At 56.7% G+C, this 19200-nt stretch overlaps 1 protein-coding gene across 7 annotated transcripts in view, besides 2 other annotated features; it reads left to right on the top strand.

Moving 5' to 3' along the window:
* The window catches only part of TBC1D22A (TBC1 domain family member 22A), a 413050-nt gene extending 393920 nt beyond the window's left edge, over positions 1 to 19130 (top strand). For 6 of the 7 annotated variants that reach the window (NM_001284304.2, XM_017028742.3, NM_014346.5 and 3 more), the window contains one exon: positions 16929 to 19124. In NM_001284304.2, the coding sequence (NP_001271233.1) occupies positions 16929 to 17057 (129 nt within the window). In that variant the 3' untranslated portion in view covers positions 17058 to 19124. 7 annotated transcript variants of the gene reach the window in all.
* Positions 8287 to 8864: an enhancer, noted in NCBI's record as "H3K4me1 hESC enhancer chr22:47560499-47561076 (GRCh37/hg19 assembly coordinates)". NCBI's record gives its function as "activates a minimal SCP1, AML or CMV promoter by ChIP-STARR-seq in naive H9 embryonic stem cells {active_cell/tissue: H9 hESC(naive)}" and the evidence as "EXISTENCE:reporter gene assay evidence [ECO:0000049][PMID:30033119]".
* Positions 14685 to 15184: an enhancer, noted in NCBI's record as "H3K4me1 hESC enhancer chr22:47566897-47567396 (GRCh37/hg19 assembly coordinates)". NCBI's record gives its function as "activates a minimal SCP1, AML or CMV promoter by ChIP-STARR-seq in naive H9 embryonic stem cells {active_cell/tissue: H9 hESC(naive)}" and the evidence as "EXISTENCE:reporter gene assay evidence [ECO:0000049][PMID:30033119]".

The raw sequence follows: 19200 nt of genomic DNA on the forward strand, positions 1-19200 counted from the left end.
ACAGAGGCGACCAGAAGAGGGACCTGGGGCAGGCTGGGGAGGTGAGGGTGGGCCTGAGGCTGTCAGAACTCCCCTCCCTGCACCCTTCTCCTGTCCACTCCTGGGGGTGTCCCTCTCTACCCTCACAGCACAGTCTCCCTCCCCGGGCTGGGTCACACTGTCACCTGATGGATCCGTGTAAGTGCACTTGCCTGCGTAGCCATCCGGCAGCCCTCCCCTTCTCCGGCCCCTCAGCTGCTACCCGGGAGCCACTGCTGCCCGCGCCGACCACCCGATGCTCAGCAGGGTCTGCATGCTGCACCCATTTGCCGTCTCCTTCTGTCGTCCTGGCCACAGCCCCATGGTCTTCAGTCCCATGAACCTTGGAGGCTTCCAAGGCACCGGGCTGCTTGTGCATCAGTGTGGGTTGCACCTGGTACCATTCCCATCCAGAGGGACAGATGTCAGCACTGGGCCCTATGGAGGGGCAGTGGCCAGGCACTGGGTGCCCCCGGTGTGCAGGTGATGCAGGATGCAGAGTGGCCATCTGGGGGTGCAAGGCGCCTCCTGTGGGGGTGATTCGTCTCCTTGCAGTGCTCCTGTGTTGGCTCTTTTCACGTAGGAATTATTTCAGCATCTGGGAGAGCAGCATGCAGAGTCACCGTGGCACACGTGCTGTAGTCCGCGGCTCCTCCCACCTGGAGAGAGAAACCACTCCGGGCATGTGAAGCCCTGTGGGACAGAGCTGCACTATCCTGCACCTCTCAGCCGCTTTCCCGATCTCTTTTTGGTGTTCGTGATTCAAGTTCGTGACTGCAGACTCTGACACCGCACACGTTATCTCTCATTATTTGGCGGCTTGGAACTTGTGTGTTTGTGGTGTGTGCACGTGTCCGTCTAGATGAACTGAAGCTGTGGCTGGGGTCTGCTGTAGGTGTCCTTGCCGCTGCACGGGCCAGGATGTGGTTCTCCCACCTTGCCTACCCATTCTGCACCTGGCCTCGCAGGACGGCGGGTGCGCTGTGGTGGCCCTTCCCACACGTGCGTCCCATGGCTCCTCGCTTCAGAGCGTGCCGTCGTGAGCTCCGTGTGGCCGTGCAGTTGCCCTTTCCGGTTCTGGTTCCACAGCTCGCTGACCCTCGCTCCGAGTCTGCTGGTGAGGCGGTGTGGCTCAGCTCCCAGCCTCACCTTCTCTTCCCAAGGGCTGGGTAGGGCCGGTGCCCAGATGGTGGCCCAGGACAGTGGGGATCTGTCTGGAGGCCCAGCTGTGAGTTGGGGGCATCTATACAAGTCACCCACCCCCCAAGCCCTCATTCTTTCTTTACTGAGATGCCAGTTACCCCTGCCATGCTGGGTGTGAGGCAGGGGTAACTGGGGGACTCCAGGCAGGTGCTCGGTGGCTGGATGGGCGTCGTGGCTCTTAACTGGGTCTTCCCTGTGCTGCCCGTCACCCTCCAGCCGGCAGGCGTGCCTGGGCTTCCCCTACGGCCATCCTTGCACCCCCACCCCTGCATCTGTGAGGGCGCGTCTCACCCAGCACCACGGCCTTCCAGGACGCCGCAGCTCCAGGAGTCAGGCTGAGGCTCTGGCTCGTGTGGGTTCTGCACCCAGCCCCTCCCTGACCTGGGGTCCAGTATGGCCTCGACCAGCACTCAGCGTTTGCATGCTTCTGCAGTTGACATACTAGAAACTTAGCAGGATCAGCTCTACGTGACCCAGACGCTTAAGCACATTGAGAGCTGCAACAATAAAGTGCTTAAGAAAGTCCCAGGTAGAGGAGTTTGTAAAGGAGGGTTCTTTAGCACTGTCATTCGTCTTGGATGAGAGTGGAGCACTTCTTCTTAGGAACACAAAAAAAGAAGAAAGGGGAGAGGAGAGGCACTGAGGGCGGAGAGAGGCAGCAGTCCTGGGTAGGGGGCAGTTCCCCCCCCAATCTGAAAAGCCCTGGGATACCCAGCCCCGACAGGTTCTTCACACATGGATCACGGCCCACCCTCTGCACAGCCCCGTGGGCAGGCTGTGCCCGCCCTCCCAGTCCTGTGTGTGGGAGGAGGGCCGGGAGCCCAACTGCCAGACCCAGCATGGGGCCTCTGCTGCGTCCTGCTCAGGACCCCCTGCAGAGGACACACCACACAGCTCTGGTTTCTTCGGCCAGGTGGCCCGTCCTGTGGAAGGGACAGGGCAGCGGAGCCTCACATCTCAGGAAGATAGCATCATTGGTGTCACCATCCTGCCTCAGCCAGAGGCACCTGCACAGGGTCCCGCAGCCACCAGCCAGGGCAGGACCTGCGTCCAGAAAGGAGGCAAGGCAGGCGCAGGTCCCCTCCCCAGGCCACACACACACACACCACAGTTACCACATAAATACACATCACATGCACTCACCATGTACACACACACACACCATGTATACACAGACACCACACACAACACACACCATGTATGCACACAGATAACACCTCACCATATATACACACACACACACCATGTATACACACACACCATGTATACACAGACACCACACACAACACACACCATGTATACACACAGATAACACCTCACCATATATACACACACACACCAGTTACTGTGTACACACATCACACACACCATGTGTGCGGATACTACACACACAACACACACCACGCACACACACCATACACCATGTATGCACACAGACACCACACACAAAATATACCATGTATGCACGCAGACAACACACACCATGTATACACACACTACACACCCCACACACACCATGTATACATACACACACATGTATACACACACACCATGTATTCACACAAAGCACATACACTCATGTATACACACAGACACACCACACACCACACTCTCACCATGTATACACACAGACACCATACAAACACACAGCATGTATACACACAGACACCACACCCACATGCCATGTAAACACACAGACAACACATACACGACATGCATACTCACCATGTTTACACACAGCACACACACGATGTATACTCACATTACACACACACTACACACACACCACAGTTATGTACACGTATCACACCATGTGTACATACACTATACACACACACCACACATGCACCACATACCACGTATATACACAGTACACACATGCACATAGACACGCCATGCACCACACACCACATATACACACGCACACTACACAAACACTGCACACCATTCATCATGTATACACACTAAACACCCACACCACACACTCACACAGACCCTACACATGCACCACATACACCCACAGCACACAACCCCCACACACGCACCACACTCCACATACAGACACAACATCCTCACATAGTGCACCCACCATACATGCACACATCCTCCACACCACACACATGTGCCACATACATGTGTCACATGCACATCACAAAACTACACAGCACACATACAAACCATACAGGTGACTCACACACACCCCACACACACACTGCACACCATATACACACATGTGCATCACACACCACACACACAGGACTTGCATACACTCAGCACGTGAGGTGGAGGAGGGTGGGGGAAGGGCAGGGGAGGCCGGGCCGCCCAACCCCTTCCTTGGTTTCCCCGCCGCTCCTTCTCCTTCACACAGCCTGGGTTGTGCTTCCCGTGCAGACACTCAGTGCTGGGAATCACGTGTGGACAGGACGTGGACACCGCCTGATCGAGGAGCCAGGGTGGGGTGGAGCTGGAGCACGTGGTCAGGATACAGGGTGGGTGCCCAGCAGAGTTCTCAGGTTCCGTGTGAGGGGCCCTCCCTTGCCGCTCACTGGGGATCCGGGGCCAGGCTCTGCCGTCCCCCTGGAATCATGTGGCCCATTGATCCTACCCGCCTGGGAGAAGGGAACGTCCTGGTCCTGGTCAGCGGGTGGAGGTCTTCACAGGGCCGCCGGTAGCTGACGCAGCTGCAGCCCCAAGCACAGGGCCAGGGCATCCTGCAGGCCACGTGGACACCTGGGCTCCGGGGCAGTGGGAGGTCTAGGCCTGCGCCTCCCCAGCCCCGTCCTCTCTACCTCACCCCGGACCACATGCTGGATTGAATATGAAAGTACAGGGGTCTTCGCTGGAGCCGTGCCATGACTCACTATTTTTAAATGTCTGAAATTTGAATCTTTGAATCATTTGCACCTTGACCTGTTCTCTTACTAAGTTTTCCATGACACCTGACACGACCAAGCCACGGGGACCGAGATGGCAAAGGGAAGGAGTATCCCATGGGAAAATGATAAAAACGGGCAGGAGATCCCAGGCGGGTCATTCCCTGGCACCCCATGCCCTCCCCCCAGCTACCCTCCTCTTCAGGACCCGCAGGCGCTGTGGAGCCCAGCAAGCCCCAGGAACCTCCTAGCCAGTCTTCCACCCTCCTGCGGTTTAGGAGGGACCCCGGGGGCCTTGGCTGCTCCCTGAGCCTTTCTCAGTTCTAGAAAAACTGAGGTTTCCAGGGTGCTGGGAAGAAGGGGGGCAGCCCACCTGCCACAGCACATGCTGGTCAGGCCCTGCCTCCCAGCTGGCCCTGGGGACACCAGGTGACCATGGAGGTGTACCTCCCTGCTGGGGAGGGAGCACTGCCAGGAGAAACCTCTAGAAAGAGACGGTGCCTGGATTGTCTTTTAGAAATTGAAATCATGTTTTCAATACATGCCCTTGTGAAAAAAAAAATGGAAAACAGAAATTGAAAGACGACAACTGGAGGACAGCTATTTTCCCTCCCAGGCTGGCGACTGTCGGGGGCGGTCCATCTCCTGCCCACCCTGCTGCCGTGAGTCTCTTGGTATGGGGGGCACTGGGCTTCCCGCCTGGCTGCCACCTCTGCTTCTCAGTAACCTTTACACTCACAGGAGTTGCCAGCATCGTTATGTTTTTTTCAACCACAGATTTTTTAACTGCTAAATAAATAAACATTTCGTTACATGGATAGACCAAAATTGCCTTCAACACACTAGCAGAGTTGGCTTTTTTTCCCTCTCACCTGTTACTGTGAAAAAGTTTAAAATACAGAGAGGCAGAAAGCATGATTCAGGGACAACCACCTAGTTTTAACAGCTGGCAGCATTTGCTGTGTTTGCTTGAGTGACCTGGAGCAAGGGGCTGAGTGTCTCGTCTTGGGTGCACACCTGGAAATGAGTGGCAGAGGCAGCGCCTGGACCCTGTGTGCCAGCCAGGTGGCTCCTGGGAAAGCCCTTCTGCGCAAGTGTGTGCCGTGGGCTTGTGGACCCGACAGTGTGAGCTTGAGCTCTCTAGCGTCCGCGAATACCCAGGGGCCCTTCGAGCATCCTCAGCTGTTGCCCAGATGTCCCTGGGGATAACTGAGCCAGCCCCAGAGTGAGCTGCCGGCGCTCTTGCATTTTTCGGGGTGGTAGCAAGCCCCGTCTTCTGGCACCGCTGAGCGCCTTTGCATTGTGTAAGGACTGCAGGGCCTCCTCGCTCCGGACACCTCTCCTGTTCCTGTATTTTGCCAGTTCCTTTAAGGATTTTGACCTGTTTGTCTCTTTCAAGAGCTCTTTCCATATGAATGCCAGCATTTCCTCCTTTCTAATAAAAATGACAAGTGTTTCTTCCATTTTTTCATTTATCTTTTGCCTTTATGTGTATATAAATATATGAGAGCTACCGGGTGTTAGTTTTCATTTGAAAGGTTTTTTTTTTTTTTTAAGGTTTTGTGTATTGAACTTACCGGTCTTGTATTCCTCCTGGACTGGGAGTCATAGTTCCCAAGGCTTTCCCGCCTCTGAGGGGTGAAGGACTCAGCATGTTTCACCTGGTGCTGTCATGTTTTCACTTTGTGCGTTCAATCTCAGGTCCCCGTGGCATTGACTGAGGCCCCCGTGGAGTTGCCATGGCGTGTGGTGTGAGGGGAGAGACGACTCTCACTTCTCCAGTACCCTTGACCGAGCCTCCTGCATAGCCCAGGGACATGTAGCCATTGGCCTCGGCAGCTTCGAGGTTTTCTTTCTTCCTTTGGCTGTGAACAACAGTGCACAGATGAGCACCTTTCTATAGTCATCTTCCCCCAAGCCTCAAGATTGTCCTCCAGGCAGAGTCAGAGGAGTGGGACTGTGGACCCGGTGCAGGGAGAGTCGTGGGAATGGGACTGCGGACCCGGTGCAGGGAGAGTCGTGGGAATGGGACTGCGGACCCGGTGCAGGGAGAGTCGTGGGAATGGGACTGCGGACCCGGTGCAGGGAGAGTCGGGGGAGTGGGACTGCGGACCCAGTGCAGGGAGAGTCGGGGGAGTGGGACTGTGGACCCGGTGCAGGGAGAGTCGGGGGAGTGGGACTGCGGACCCGGTGTAGGCACTTCCTCGTGGTCTTGATATGTAGGCCCTCCCCTCGAGCAGGATTTAAAGCACACACCATGTGTCTGAAAGTTTCAGAATTACAGACCACACCATGCCCACGCCCAATCTGCGAACCCCACCTCAGGTGGGAACCCTGCTCCCTAGAAATACCCTTTGGCCCCGGAGACCAAAGGAGACGGGGCAAGTGGAGCTGGGCCTGGGCCAGGTGGGCACTGACCAGGCAGGCGTGCCAGTGGCCAGGGTGGGCAGGTTTGCCTCCCCTGTGGTTCCTTTTCCAACAAGCACTGCCCCCCCGCCCGGCCCCTGGCTGCCCCACCCAGACAGAGGGACAGGAGGACCATGGCCATCGAAGGCTTGGGAGGCCCACCCTGAGCAAACAGCCCCTCTTTGTCTGGCATCCAGGGCAGAGGCCATGGGTCCCCTCCCAATGCCTGCACTCATCCTCATCCTCTCTGGGGACCCCATTTGTCTTGCTTGCCCTCTCCCCATAATTCCTGCTCACAATAGTCTCTGAACCTTTAAATGCCATTCTTAGGAGGCTGAAACCAAAGGTCCCTGGTTGCAGTGTCGAGACAGGCAGGGCCTCCTGGAGCACAGGTGCATCTGAAGGTGGTAGGGTCGGTGTGTGCGATTCAGTCCTCACGGAGTCTTGAAAGGTGACCTGGAGTTACACAGAAGGCAGACGGGTGAGGTTGCAATGGGAAAGGGACAGCCATGGTTGCTGTGGGAGCCTGAACAGCCAGGAGAGGGCAGAGGGTAGGAGGGAAGGGCGGTGGAGGGAAGCAAGGAAAGCACAGGCCTCTGTGCAGGAGCCTGGGACAGGCACTGCCTCTGAGGGGTGGGCACAGCACGGTGCTGCCAGTGCTACCAGTGCCTGCATGCAGCCGGGGCTCATGGCATCTGGATCTCAAGCCACCCGGTCCTGACACCTGCACCACGGGGTCGTTTCCTCATGCACACACTTGCACCACTGAGCAGGGTTCATGAGCACTGGGACGCCAAGAGTCCAGTGGGTCGCCTGTCCCAGGATAACTGCACATATCAGCACCAAGTTCATCATTAGGCTGTGAGCAGCCCATGGCCACCTTGGGAAGATGGCCGTACTTCTTTCCAGTGGCAACACCTCCAAGGCCCATGCTTTTCCTTGTACGAAGCAGCCATCACCGCGCCAGGTAACAGAGCTGAGCCCTGTGTCTCTGACGCTGCTGTGCGGAGGTCTGAGCCGGCTTCAGATGAGCCCGAGGCCTCCGTGGGCTGCGCCAAGGGTGAGGCAAAGCTGGCCCAGCCACGTGAAGCTGCGTGTCACAGAGGGTGTGCACTGGAGCAGGAGCCCCTCCCCGCAGGCCGTTCTCATTTGTACAGGAAAAGGCACACACTCTGCCGGCTCCTTAGACATGGGCCTCTGTGGCCTCGGTCACCAGCTTGAAGTCCTGTTTGACAAGCCCAGTGTACTCTCAGCAGGTCTTGTTAGGGAACTGATTTGGAGGCACTTGTCACTTATGCATGTCCAGGGCAGCCCCTCGTCACCTGAGTGTGAAGGACAGGCAGGACCTGGGGAGTGTCAGGTTGAGCTCCTCCTAGGGAGGTTTTTCGGCGAGGGTCCCAGCCTGCCTGGGGCATGGGACGGCCTGTGCCTTGGCATGGCCTGTGTGTCGAGTGCTGGGTCTCCCCTGCCCTTGCTGAGGAGACTGGCGGTCTCTCGGCCACAGAGGGTTCCTGGGCCTGTTTCCTAAGGCTGAATGTCAGTGTCGAGTCAGGAATTTCCCAGCCCAAATGGAGACACGGGAGGAAGGAAATGGCCTCATTCAGGAACTTGAAGTGGGCCAAGCACAATCTGCGGGTCTTCTGCAGCCTGAAGTTCACTGGGGTCGCTCCGCTGGCAGCGCTGACAGCAGCGGACCTTTTCGCCATGATTTCATCTCAGCTGGTCCCATTCCTTCCTCTGCACATGTACGTCACGGAAGCGGATACTTCATGTTGAATATGGATTCAGACCCTGCAGCCCCTGCGCAGGAGGAATACAAATGCTCCACTGTCTGCAGAAAGGCCCGGGGGTTTGGGTAGGATCAACGATCTTTGACCTCTGTAATGTGTGGTCCATGGAGACTGTTGTCATTTCGGGAGTAGGAGTGACAGTGAGGGGCCAGTGAGACCGAGAGGGGCCTATCCGGTGCTCACTCCAGCCTCTCCACAGGGCAGGGGGTGGAGTCCAGGCATGGCAGGGCCTTTGTTCTTGTTCTGGCCTCAGCCCTCCTGGCCTCCTCCTGCTCTGTCAAGTGTGGCCGTCGTCCCCTGTGATTGCCAGGGCTCGTGATTGCCAGGGCCCTGTGGTGAGGAGGATGTGTCAGGGGTAGGGGAGTGACTCGTGTTTGCCTGTCTCGCTCCAGGGGGTGCGCGGACCCCTTCAGCCCTCATGGCACCTGCGAAGGGCTCCTCTGCCACCTCCCAGGAGGTGCCTGCAACTCTTGCAGATAGAGGGCAGTGGTCATGATGAGCACGAAACAACAGGGCGAGTTTCTGGAGCTCTTTGCACCAGCACGGGTATCGCTGCCCCTCTCGCCTGGGGGTGGCTCCCCTCGCCATCGCCATCTCATAGACAGGGGCTTGTCCTCCAGGGACAGTGCTTGGAGAGCCAGGTCTAGCCTGCTGGGCTCTGGAGCAGGCATGTCGCCTGCCTGGCTCTAGAGCAGGCATGTCGCCCGCCCCACTGCCCCCGACAGTGGTATGGGGAATGGGACTGCAGTGTGGGTGCCACAGGGTTGCCGGGCTTGCTGCATGCCTCCTGGGACAAGTTGCCCAGCCTGTCCGCTCCTCAGGTTCCTCACCTAAAAGACGGAGGGGTCAAGAGAAATGCCCGAGGGCCTCCTGCTGGGAAATGTCATGCTGCTGCCCTGCCCCCCGGACCCCGGGGGTCCTCAGCGGCCTCCCCAGGTGGCATCAGGGCCTCCCCACTGCAGACAGCTGGCACTCCACAGCACCTGCTGTGGTTAGGGTTTCTCACCAGGCTGCACACGCGGAGTGTCAGGAGGCTGTGGAAAAGCAAATTAAACCAATTAACCCTGCTCCCCGCGTCGCATGTCACCGTGGTGAATCCTGTTTCATCTTTCTCTGTTAGGGGAAGAAAATAACAAGAGTAGGCAAATGGGCCTTTTAGCCCCATCGTGATTAATTTATTCATCTTTGCATGTTGGCAATTTGTAAACTTCTGACTTGAGTAGCTTTTAAGTGGACCTCTGTGTGCTCTCTGCTGTGCCCGGGAGCAGGTGTTGACGAGTTTTGCCACTGCACGCACAGCCCTTCCTGCTGCCTGGGGGAGCCTTCCGGTATCTTCAGTGTGCACAGAGGGTCCAGGGGAGGGAAGCACTGGTCAGTGCTGCCAGCAGACCCTGGCCTGGAGCAGGCAGAGGAGGGAGGCAGGATTTATACCTAGAACAGTGCTGTCCAGAAGGAATGTGTCACCAGCCACATAGGAACGTGAAAACAAAGAAAGAGGCAGGTGTCATTAATTTTAATAAAATATTTAACCAACACCCAAAATACTATCATTTGAACCTAGAATCAATATAAAAATTATAAAAGAAATAGTTTACATTCTTTTGTTCTTAATAAATATTCAAAGTCTAGAGTGTGTTCTGCACAGACCCGCCCTGTTTCAGACGCACCACTCATGGCCCTTGAAGGCGAAGTCTGCGGTAGCCTGCATCCCATGGTTCCATTACGCTTCTCTGCATAGTGCTGGACACTGTCTCTTTTCTTGTTTATTTCTCCATCTGTTGCCTGACCTACTGGCACACACACTCATACATGTACGCCCTGCAGGGCTGTGGGCTGAGTGTCCTCAGTGCCTGGAGTGGGGCCCGGCATGAGGCAGCCCTGGGCATGTGGTCACCCAGTGAACACCTGCAGTGCCTGTGAGAAGGTCTGGCATGAAGGGCCTGGACCTCAGGCCCATTTGCTGGAGGAGAGAGGCCGGGGTACAGGTGGGAGCTGGTGCTCCAGGTGCTCTAGCTGCAGTGTGGGGGATGCCCCACAGCACCTGGCCTTCTCCCTACCCTTGTAAGCAGAGCTCCAGCACCAGGCGGGGCACTGTCCTGGCAGCTGCCCAGCCGGACAAGGAGGATCCAGCATGATCTCAGAGCAGACCCTATACTTCTTTTATTTTAAAAATTATGTTTAGTATACAGCTAATGCATGTTTATTTTGAAAAGATTAGAATTTATGGATAAGTAAAAAATAAATCATCACGTTTTCTCCCAACGATGACCACGTTCGTCTTTGGCTGATGGTCCTTTTGGAGTTCTTCATGCAAATGCATGTCCTTGAATTTGCATATACACACAGAAAGGTAACACCCAGGTAACACCCAGGCAGGTGCACAGCGGGGAACCTTCATGTGCCTGGCTCATCGTGGGCACCAGAAGCCCCGTAGTGGAAGGTGTAACCAGCCATTCAAGCATTGCCGAAGGCACTTTGCACACATTCAACAACCTAATAAGGGAGTTATTATTTTTCTGGCTTTTTCACTCCAGCGGTTCACCAAGTGGGAAGGAGTGGCACCCAGCAGCTTCTTTGCTCCCATAACTCGGCAAGTGGGAGGGAGGGTTACAGCTCTTTTACTCCTGCCGCCCACAGCTCAGCAAGCATTACAGCTCTTTTGCTCTCGCAGTTTGGCAAGTTCTGGGTTCTTGTCCCACAGCCAAGAGGAATAAGGTACGTGGACGCCAGAGAGTAAGGCAGAGTAGAATTTTACTGAGGAACAGAAAGAAAGCTCTCAGCTGCAAGAAGAGACCTGAAAGCAGGGTGGCCATCTGTGAGGGTAAGTCCAGGGTTTTTATGGGCTTTGAATGGGGGAGTGCATGCTGATAGGTCCATGGATGGGCTTGGAAAAAGCACCATTCGATTGGATAAAGGGCATCATTCAGAAGGAACCAGTTGAAAGAGAGTGGGTAAGACGGGGATGGAAGTTCTCACTCCGGTCGTGGACTCTATCCAGAACTGGCAGTTAGGTGCTCAGGCTCTAAAAGTATCCTTGGCTTGAAGGTCAGGTTTCACTGGGGACCCATCCCTGTCTGTCTAGGAACTTGTCTGTCTCCTGTTGCTATCACTATTATTATCCCATTTTACAGATGAGGAAACTGAGGCATGGAGGGTTATGAGACTTGCCCAGGGTTGTGTAGCTAATAAATGCAGGGCTGGGATTTGAACGTGGCCGTGGGGCACATTCAGATGTGCTTTTAGTTGCTTCACCGGACTCTGCGACGTTCACTGCCCAGCAAAGTGCTGTGGGCTCAGTTTTGGGGATATAGGGACACACAGACCTGTTGAAGTAGTGGTGGAGATGCTGGGGAGAACTCACTGCCCAGCAAAGTGCTGTGGGCTCGGTTTTGGGGATATAGGGACACACAGACCTGTTGAAGTAGTAGGTGGTGGAGATGCTGGGGAGAACTCACTGCCCAGCAAAGTGCTGTGGGCTCGGTTTTGGGGATATAGGGACACACAGACCTGTTGAAGTAGTAGGTGGTGGAGATGCTGGGGAGAACTCACTGCCCAGCCAAGTGCTGTGGGCTCGGTTTTGGGGATATAGGGACACACAGACCTGTTGAAGTAGATGGTGGAGATGCTGGGGAGAGCAGCAGGGACGCATCTGCAGTGCTCGTGGGGTCAGGCAGCATTGGGGGCGGGCTCGGGCCCAGCACTCCCGCATCTAATCCAGTGATCTTGCTTCCCTCGCTGCTGCCCGTTCTCACATGAGCCTCAGCCCTGGGCCAGCCACTCAGAGCTCAGGGTCTCGAAGGAACCCAGGGTCTGCAGTCAACCACCCACCCACCCACCCACTGTTCTGGAGCCTGGGGCCCTAGGACACGGGCTTGTCACCGTCTCACCCTTCCTGGGAAGGCCTGGCACGCGGGGGAGGTCAGTGTCCTCCACGGATGGCACTAGGATTCGTTTGACTCAGGAAAAATAAAACCCTTTTGGTAAGAAGTAGCCAAAGCCATGGCGATATCTGCTCTTCAGTGTCAGGAGCCTCGCCTGCTCTTCAGCATCGGAAGCCTCACCTGGTCTTCGGCATCGGGAGCCTCAGCATTGGGAGCCTCGTCTGCTCTTCGGCATCGGGAGCCTCACCTGCCCTCCGGCATTGGGAGCCTCACCTGTTGGAACCCGCCCGGGGCAGGAGTGAGCGGCATGGCGGCTTCTGTCTAAGTGTGGTCCACTGCTGTGTGGTCCATGGGGGGAAACTGTTGGAAACATCCCAGCTTGGCTTCCCACCTCCACCCTGTGTCCCACTCACTGACGTTTTAGAGAGATGCCTTTGCCTGCATGGTGGTGTGTGAGTCAGGGCTCCACTTCTGCCTGGGTGGTGTGGGTAGGGCCAACCCCCACCCCCACCGGCCCTCAACTTCAACAGGGGTTGCCTGGTGGAAAGCGTGAGCAACTCTGTCCACTCTTGTGATTCATGATGTGTCCGAGAGTGTCTAGGGCACACCCAAGTCGCCCACCATCCTGAGAACCAACACATCCCTCTCCCCAGGCCCCACCTCCCAGATCCCAGGTCAGTTGCTTGGGCTGGGGCCAGGACAATGGGGCATTTTTTTGAGCTCCTTGGGTGCTGATGGACATGTGGTCAGGCCTGAGAACCGTCAACCTCCAGGCCATGCAGCGAGAGTCTGATTCTGTTGCTTTTGATCCCTCACTGATCACAGACCCCACAGCCTTTACAAAGGGCCCTTGCAGACACTCGGTGTCCACTGGAAGGATTCTCGGCACACAGGCTGATGGAGAAAGGCAGGGTGCACTCCACGCTGCCCTCTGGCTGTGGCTTTGTTGAGATGGTGGTGCCCCAGGGACCGGGGGAGGGACGGATTGCAGACCTGACGCGACCTTGACTTCTACAGCATCAGTGTGATGAGCAGAGCCTTCCTTTAACTTTTAGATCCACAGATGTGGCCATTAATTGTTTATGGAAAAGTTAAGAATGAAAATGCAAGTGCCGTCTATAGTTTTCTGGGCTGGGCCCTGGGCAGGCCTCTCTCCACCTGCCCTCCTGGACAGGCAGCACCGTCATTGCTGGGAGAGCCATGTCCCTGAATGTGACCGAGGGATGGCTTCGCCCGTGGTGGCCCCTCTGCCTGCCTGGTGTGGGTGATGCAGAACAGCTCTTGGCTAATAAATGTGCCGCGTTTCCCAGACAGGAGACGACGTGGCCTAGTGCATAAATAAGACAAGCCTTTTTAAAAAAGAAATCTGTATTTAAGGATGTGTTTGGCTGTGTTCTTCTCCTCCCGTAAAGGTCACCCAGATAGATTTTTCCTTCTTTAGCATTGCAGGCTGCGAAGAACTGGGCATTTCTATTCTCCCTCCATCCAGTGAACCTGGCGGACTAAATTAGATTCTGAAATTGAGTGTGCAGTAGAGTCGGTGAGTTACCGTAATGGGAGGGTACTGCTTCTCACCTTGCAAGGAGCGAGGTCATGATAATATGAAGCGAAGTGGATTAAAAATAAAACCAAAGGTATTTATTTATGACCTGCTCAGAATTGGATTGGCATCCATGTAAGTTGCATCTAATGGTGAAAGACAGCAGATTGATGTTGATATGTCCCCAGGGACTTTTAGCCAGTGAAATTCGCTCCCTGAATTCAATTTAAAGGCCCACTGAAAGTATCCAAAATGCGAAAGGAAATGGAATTGAGGAAGTGGGGGTGGAAGCCCAGCAACTGCGAAATAGCAATTGGAAGACGGTCCTGGTGTGTAACCCTCCTGATGCAGGACCGGAGAGAGGACAGTCCTGGTGTGTAACCCTCCTGATGCAGGACCAGAGAGAGGACAGTCCTGGTGTGTAACCCTCCTGATGCAGGACCGGAGAGAGGACAGTCCTGGTGTGTAACCCTCCTGATGCAGGACCGGAGAGAGGACAGTCCTGGTGTGTAACCCTCCTGATGCAGGACCGGAGAGAGGGCAGTCCTGGTGTGTAACCCTCCTGATGCAGGACCGGAGAGAGGACAGTCCTGGTGTGTAACCCTCCTGATGCAGGACCGGAGAGAGGGCAGTCCTGGTGTGTAATCTTCCTGATTCGGAAATGGAGAGCGCAGCTCCGGGATGGCCGGGGGGCCTGCCTCAGTGAGGGTGGGGCAACATGCAGACGGCAGCCTCCGGCACAGCCAGGATGTGAGCCCAGGTCATCTGTCCAGGCTCTGTGCCTGCACAGCTCAGCTCATCCTGGCTGTGCCTATGTGGAGAGCCTGCCATCCTTATCTCCAGATGAAGAAGAGTGTGGCTTGGAGAGCCAGGCCCACTGCCCAAGACCACCTGGACAGGAAGACAGGATGTGAACTTCAGAGCCCAGCTACCCCCCATTCCCCTCCATGCCAGTCTTGCTGGGCTGCGTTTTCTCGAGGCAGGCGACATGGGCATCCCGAGCCTGTGGCCCTCCCTGTCCCTTGTCACCTGCTAGGAGTGGGGAAGGGCAGTTCCAGCACCCTGAGGGCTCCTCAGCCGCCTTCCTGACTTCCTGGATCCAGCTTCTGTTTGGGGTGGGAGGTAGGAGAAGCCGGGGAGCCTGCAGGTGGCCCCCTGGGGGCAAATTCTCGAGGACCAGAGCCCACAGGGCCATCTGAGCAGTGTAGACCCCTCCCTCAGGGAGTCTGCCCAGCTTCATGACAGAGCCTGGGCTTGGGCTGGCCCTGACCTGATGGTCCCCTGTTTCTCTTCTGAGAACCCCCACTGCAGGAGGCTGTCTTGGCCACTCAGCCCTCTCTGATCCCTACTTCTGCCAAGCCCTCTGTGTGTTGGGGTCCCCGGAGACCTGCCCTGCCCTTGGTGGGCTGCCAGCAGCTGTGGATGTGGGCGTGGTCATGTGGGAGGGCGGGGCTGTCAGGCGGTGGTCGTGGGGGGTCCCCCGAGGACCTGTGCTTTTCCTTCCCCGTTGTGGCCTCAGTGGACGTAGGTCAGTCTCCATCTCCTCAGTGTCCGCATCCCGGCCTCCAGACCATGAGCTCTGGAGACAGTCGCCCATGTGTCTTTTGGGGGTGGGACTCAGTGCCCCCATAGCCCATCTGAGACACGGCCCAGCTGCAGGCCAGAGGAGCCCACCCAGCACTCCCAGTAAGCCCAACGCACCTGCCCAGTGCGCCCGGTGAGCCCAGTGTGCCTACCCAGCACTCCCAGTGAGCCTACCCAGCACTCCCAGTGAGCCTACCCAGCACTCCCAGTGAGCCTACCCAGCACTCCCAGTGAGCTGTGTGCTCACCCAGAGTGCCCAGTGAGCCCAGTGAGTCCGGTGTGCCCGCCCGGTGTTCCCACCCAGCATGCCCAGTGAGCCTTGTGTGTCCACCCAGTGTGCCCGCTCAGTGAGCCTGGTGTGTCTACCTAGCATGCCCATGGAGCCCACTGTGTGCCCACCCAGTGCTGGCTGTACTGCTGGCCGTATGTGTGTTTTCCCAGTCTGTCCAGCAGCCCTGACAGTAATTTACTACAGTAAATAAAAATTTGTACTATGTGAATTCAATGCAATAAATGCTGTGACTGGGAAGTAGAATGGGAGAATGAAGGGTACAGGAGGCGAGATTTTAAAAATACACATGTAAGATGATTTTATCCACACTGAACGACTTATAATTGTTGCTTATTCCCTATAGTTCCCTATTTTCCTACTTACATGCATGTCATTCACCTTTATGTAAAACCTTTTACCTCCTATCTTTACCTATGAGAATCCTACCTGAATTTTAAGAGTCTGATCAAATGTCACTTCCACAGAAAGGCCTTCTTTGGTTGTAACTGGAATTAATTTTTAAATCTCAGTCTAAGGCAAATAAGCACATTAGAAAGCAATAAATAAATAAATGGTGGCCCCATTTTGCAGAGGAGGAAGCTGGGCCTCGGGGTGGAGTCATTGTTCCAGGGCACCAGGTTGGACCTAGACCTGAAGCTGGGTTTGGTGGAGCCCTGCACCCCAACCCACTGGTGTGAGGTGGTCATGCAGGAGGGGCCAGTTGGCGCTTTGCTGTGCTCCTGGGCTCCCGGGGTGGGCCTGAGCCGGCTCCGTTCTGTGATCCCCTCGTGTGGGCTTCATCTGCTGATGGTGCTGGTGCCCGGAGGGGTCTCCTGGTGCACAGAAATCTGTGCTTAGTGGCAGTTCCAGGGGTGCTGCGGTACTTCCTGGGCTGATACAGGCTTTGTGGGAGTGGGAAGCTCCTGGGCGGAGGCTGCAAAGCTGCAGCAGGGCCCCGAGAGCTGGGTCTCCCCCTGAGGGGCAGGGGATTCAGTTAAATGAAGCTCTGGGCGGCCCCTGCCACGACATCTCAGATGCCGGACTTGGAGCTGCGCAGTGGGCCTCCTGCCTGGCTGCTGGGATGGGGCGGTGGCCGTGGGGCGAGGCCTGGGGCCCTTCTGGGGTTGAGCAGGGAGCAGCTGCCGGCTGGGCAAGTTTTCCTGGGTCACCCACCCTCCACTGTGGGTCACCTCCTCTGACCTGGGCTTGTGTCTTTCTCTCCAGTTTTCCTGGATCACCCGCCCTGCACCGTGGGTCACCTCCTCTGACCTGGGCTTGTATCTTTCCCTCCAGTTTTCTGGGGTCACCCGCCCTCCACCGTGGGTCACCTCCTCTGACCTGGGCTTGTCTCTTTCTCCCCAGGAGCTGCTGCTCTTCCTCCAGAACCTGCCCACAGCCCACTGGGATGATGAGGACATCAGCCTGTTGCTGGCCGAGGCCTACCGCCTCAAGTTTGCTTTTGCCGACGCCCCCAATCACTACAAGAAATGAGCCCAGGCCCACCCGCAGCTGGCCTCACTGTCCCGGGTGGCGCGCCCCACCTGCCTGGCTGGTGGTAGGCCCCTGTGAGCTGGTCCCGGGCTGCTAAAAGGCCTTGTGAGGTGGCCCCACCCTCCAGGGGAGCTGGTGAAGATGGGCCACAGACCTGGTCTAGGGCTGACAAAGACAGGGACAGCCTTTGTTTTCTGAGATACCAAAGAGAGCCAGGGGAGGGCCCCGGGTTCGGCGGCCAGAGGCAGGTCAGGGGTCCCCTCTCCCTCTCCCTGCAATGTCCTTGCCAAATGACTGCCTCGTGCTGCCCCTAGTCCGGGGCAGCCTAGGAGGCCGACCCTCTTTGGAGTCCTGCTGTCTGGGTGCCAGGGCCGGAACGAGGTAGTGGCCATCTCATACCTACTCTGAAATGCAAAACTTCTATTCTGTTGAGTGAAAGAATAAAATGTAGACAAAATCTAGACCGAGACGTTGCGCTGACCCGGGGTCTCTGTGCCGCGAGGTCCCCTCACAGCTGTATTTCACTGCTGCTGGCCCTTTCCCTCCGTGTGTTTTCCTGCTTGCTTGGTTTAAACGTGGCTGGGAAGCTGAAGGCTGGAGTCCAAGCCGTGAGCCCGCCGAGTGCCTGGGAGGCCGTGGGACCAAAGGCTGGGAGCAGAGGGAGGCCTCGCCATCGCCTTACTTTCCACCTTGAACCTCTTTTACAAGAGAGAAACCCCCACCTCCCTGAGGTCCAGGGCCAAGTGGCCCCGCCACGCAGGTAGGCGCCGGCCTCAGCCAGAGCCCCTGGAGGCCCACCCAGGCTGTCGGGCCATGTTGGGCTGGCAGACGGGCAGGGGGTCGCGTCCCTGTCATCAAAGCCCTGAACCACAGTGCTCTTCTCACCGCAGCCTGGAAGCGGAATGAGCTTTTGGAGACTTCCTGGGACTTGCTGTCCTTGTCCAGGTCTGCCAGGTGTAGGGGAGGTGTGACTGGTTCCATCATGGACCGGTTCCTCCATGGACCGGTTCCTCCGTGGACCGGTTCCGCCATGGACCGGTTCCGCCATGGACCACTCCTGCCCTGGACCACTCCTGCCCTGGACCGGTTCTGCCGTGGACTGGTTCCCGCCGTGGACCAGTTCCCGCTGTATACTGGTTCTGCCCTGGACTGGTTCCCGCTGTGGACTGGTTCCTTGGGGCTCTAAGTGCGGAAGGGCCCAGAGCTGGTCCCTGCCCAGCGCCCTGCTAGGGCTGTGTCCTTGGCTCCAGGGGCCTTGGGACTGGCTTCCCAGCGTTCCCTCGGTGTGTCACAGGCTGCATGACCCCTGGAATGCGGGCAGGGCCACAGCCACAGTCTGTCTGATCCCTGAGCCCAGGACAGGCTCACGTCCTCAGCGACCCACTGGTGACTGACTTCCCAGACTCTCCTCTGTCCCTCAGGAGCAGCCGTGTCCTCTCCCAGGCCCTAGGACACTGCCAGAGACTGTGGGACATACAGGCATAAGTGATGTGTGTGTTTCTGCTTCTGTTTTAAAAATCCAGGGTCATTACACACAGCATGGAAATTAGCACAAAATGCTGTGCAAACGTCAGATGCTCCCAAACCAGCAAAGGGATGGGCTTGCTTCACATCAGATGCGGGCACGCCTTACCCCTGCCTTCCGTGTCCCCACCCCAGGGTCAAGGGTTCCTCAGACCAGCCATGCCTCCTCCTCCTGCCGCCTCCTTTTCTAGATGGGGAGGGGATTCCGTCACAAGAAGAGCCGCCCCTCGGCCGTGTGCAGGAAGCCCCATGTCGCTTTGCCGAGATCAGCCCTGGGAGGATCCCCTTCTCCAGCTCAGATCATGCCGTGTGGCCAGAAGGCTGCGGACACAACTGACCTGCTTCTCGAGGTGGTTGATGTTTTAAACAGGAAGCTCCACGGAGTTCAGCCCTGTGTGCATTTCCTCATGTATGTAAACGCCAAGACTGAATGTGAGAGGTGTTGGCCGCGGGCCTTAAGTCTGAGCAGATCCATCTGGAATGTTCGGGGTGTGCTGTCTGGATGTGGTGCGCTAAAAACACGGAATAAAGATCAGTGACAAAGCCGCGGCCTTGGCCTGTGATTCGAGGACTTGCCCATCGAGGACAGGGGCACCCTGGCCCAGCCCTGCCGAGGGTC

The sequence above is a fragment of the Homo sapiens genome, chromosome 22 (genome assembly GCF_000001405.40).
Source record: "Homo sapiens chromosome 22, GRCh38.p14 Primary Assembly".
NCBI classification, from domain to species: Eukaryota; Metazoa; Chordata; class Mammalia; order Primates; family Hominidae; genus Homo; species Homo sapiens.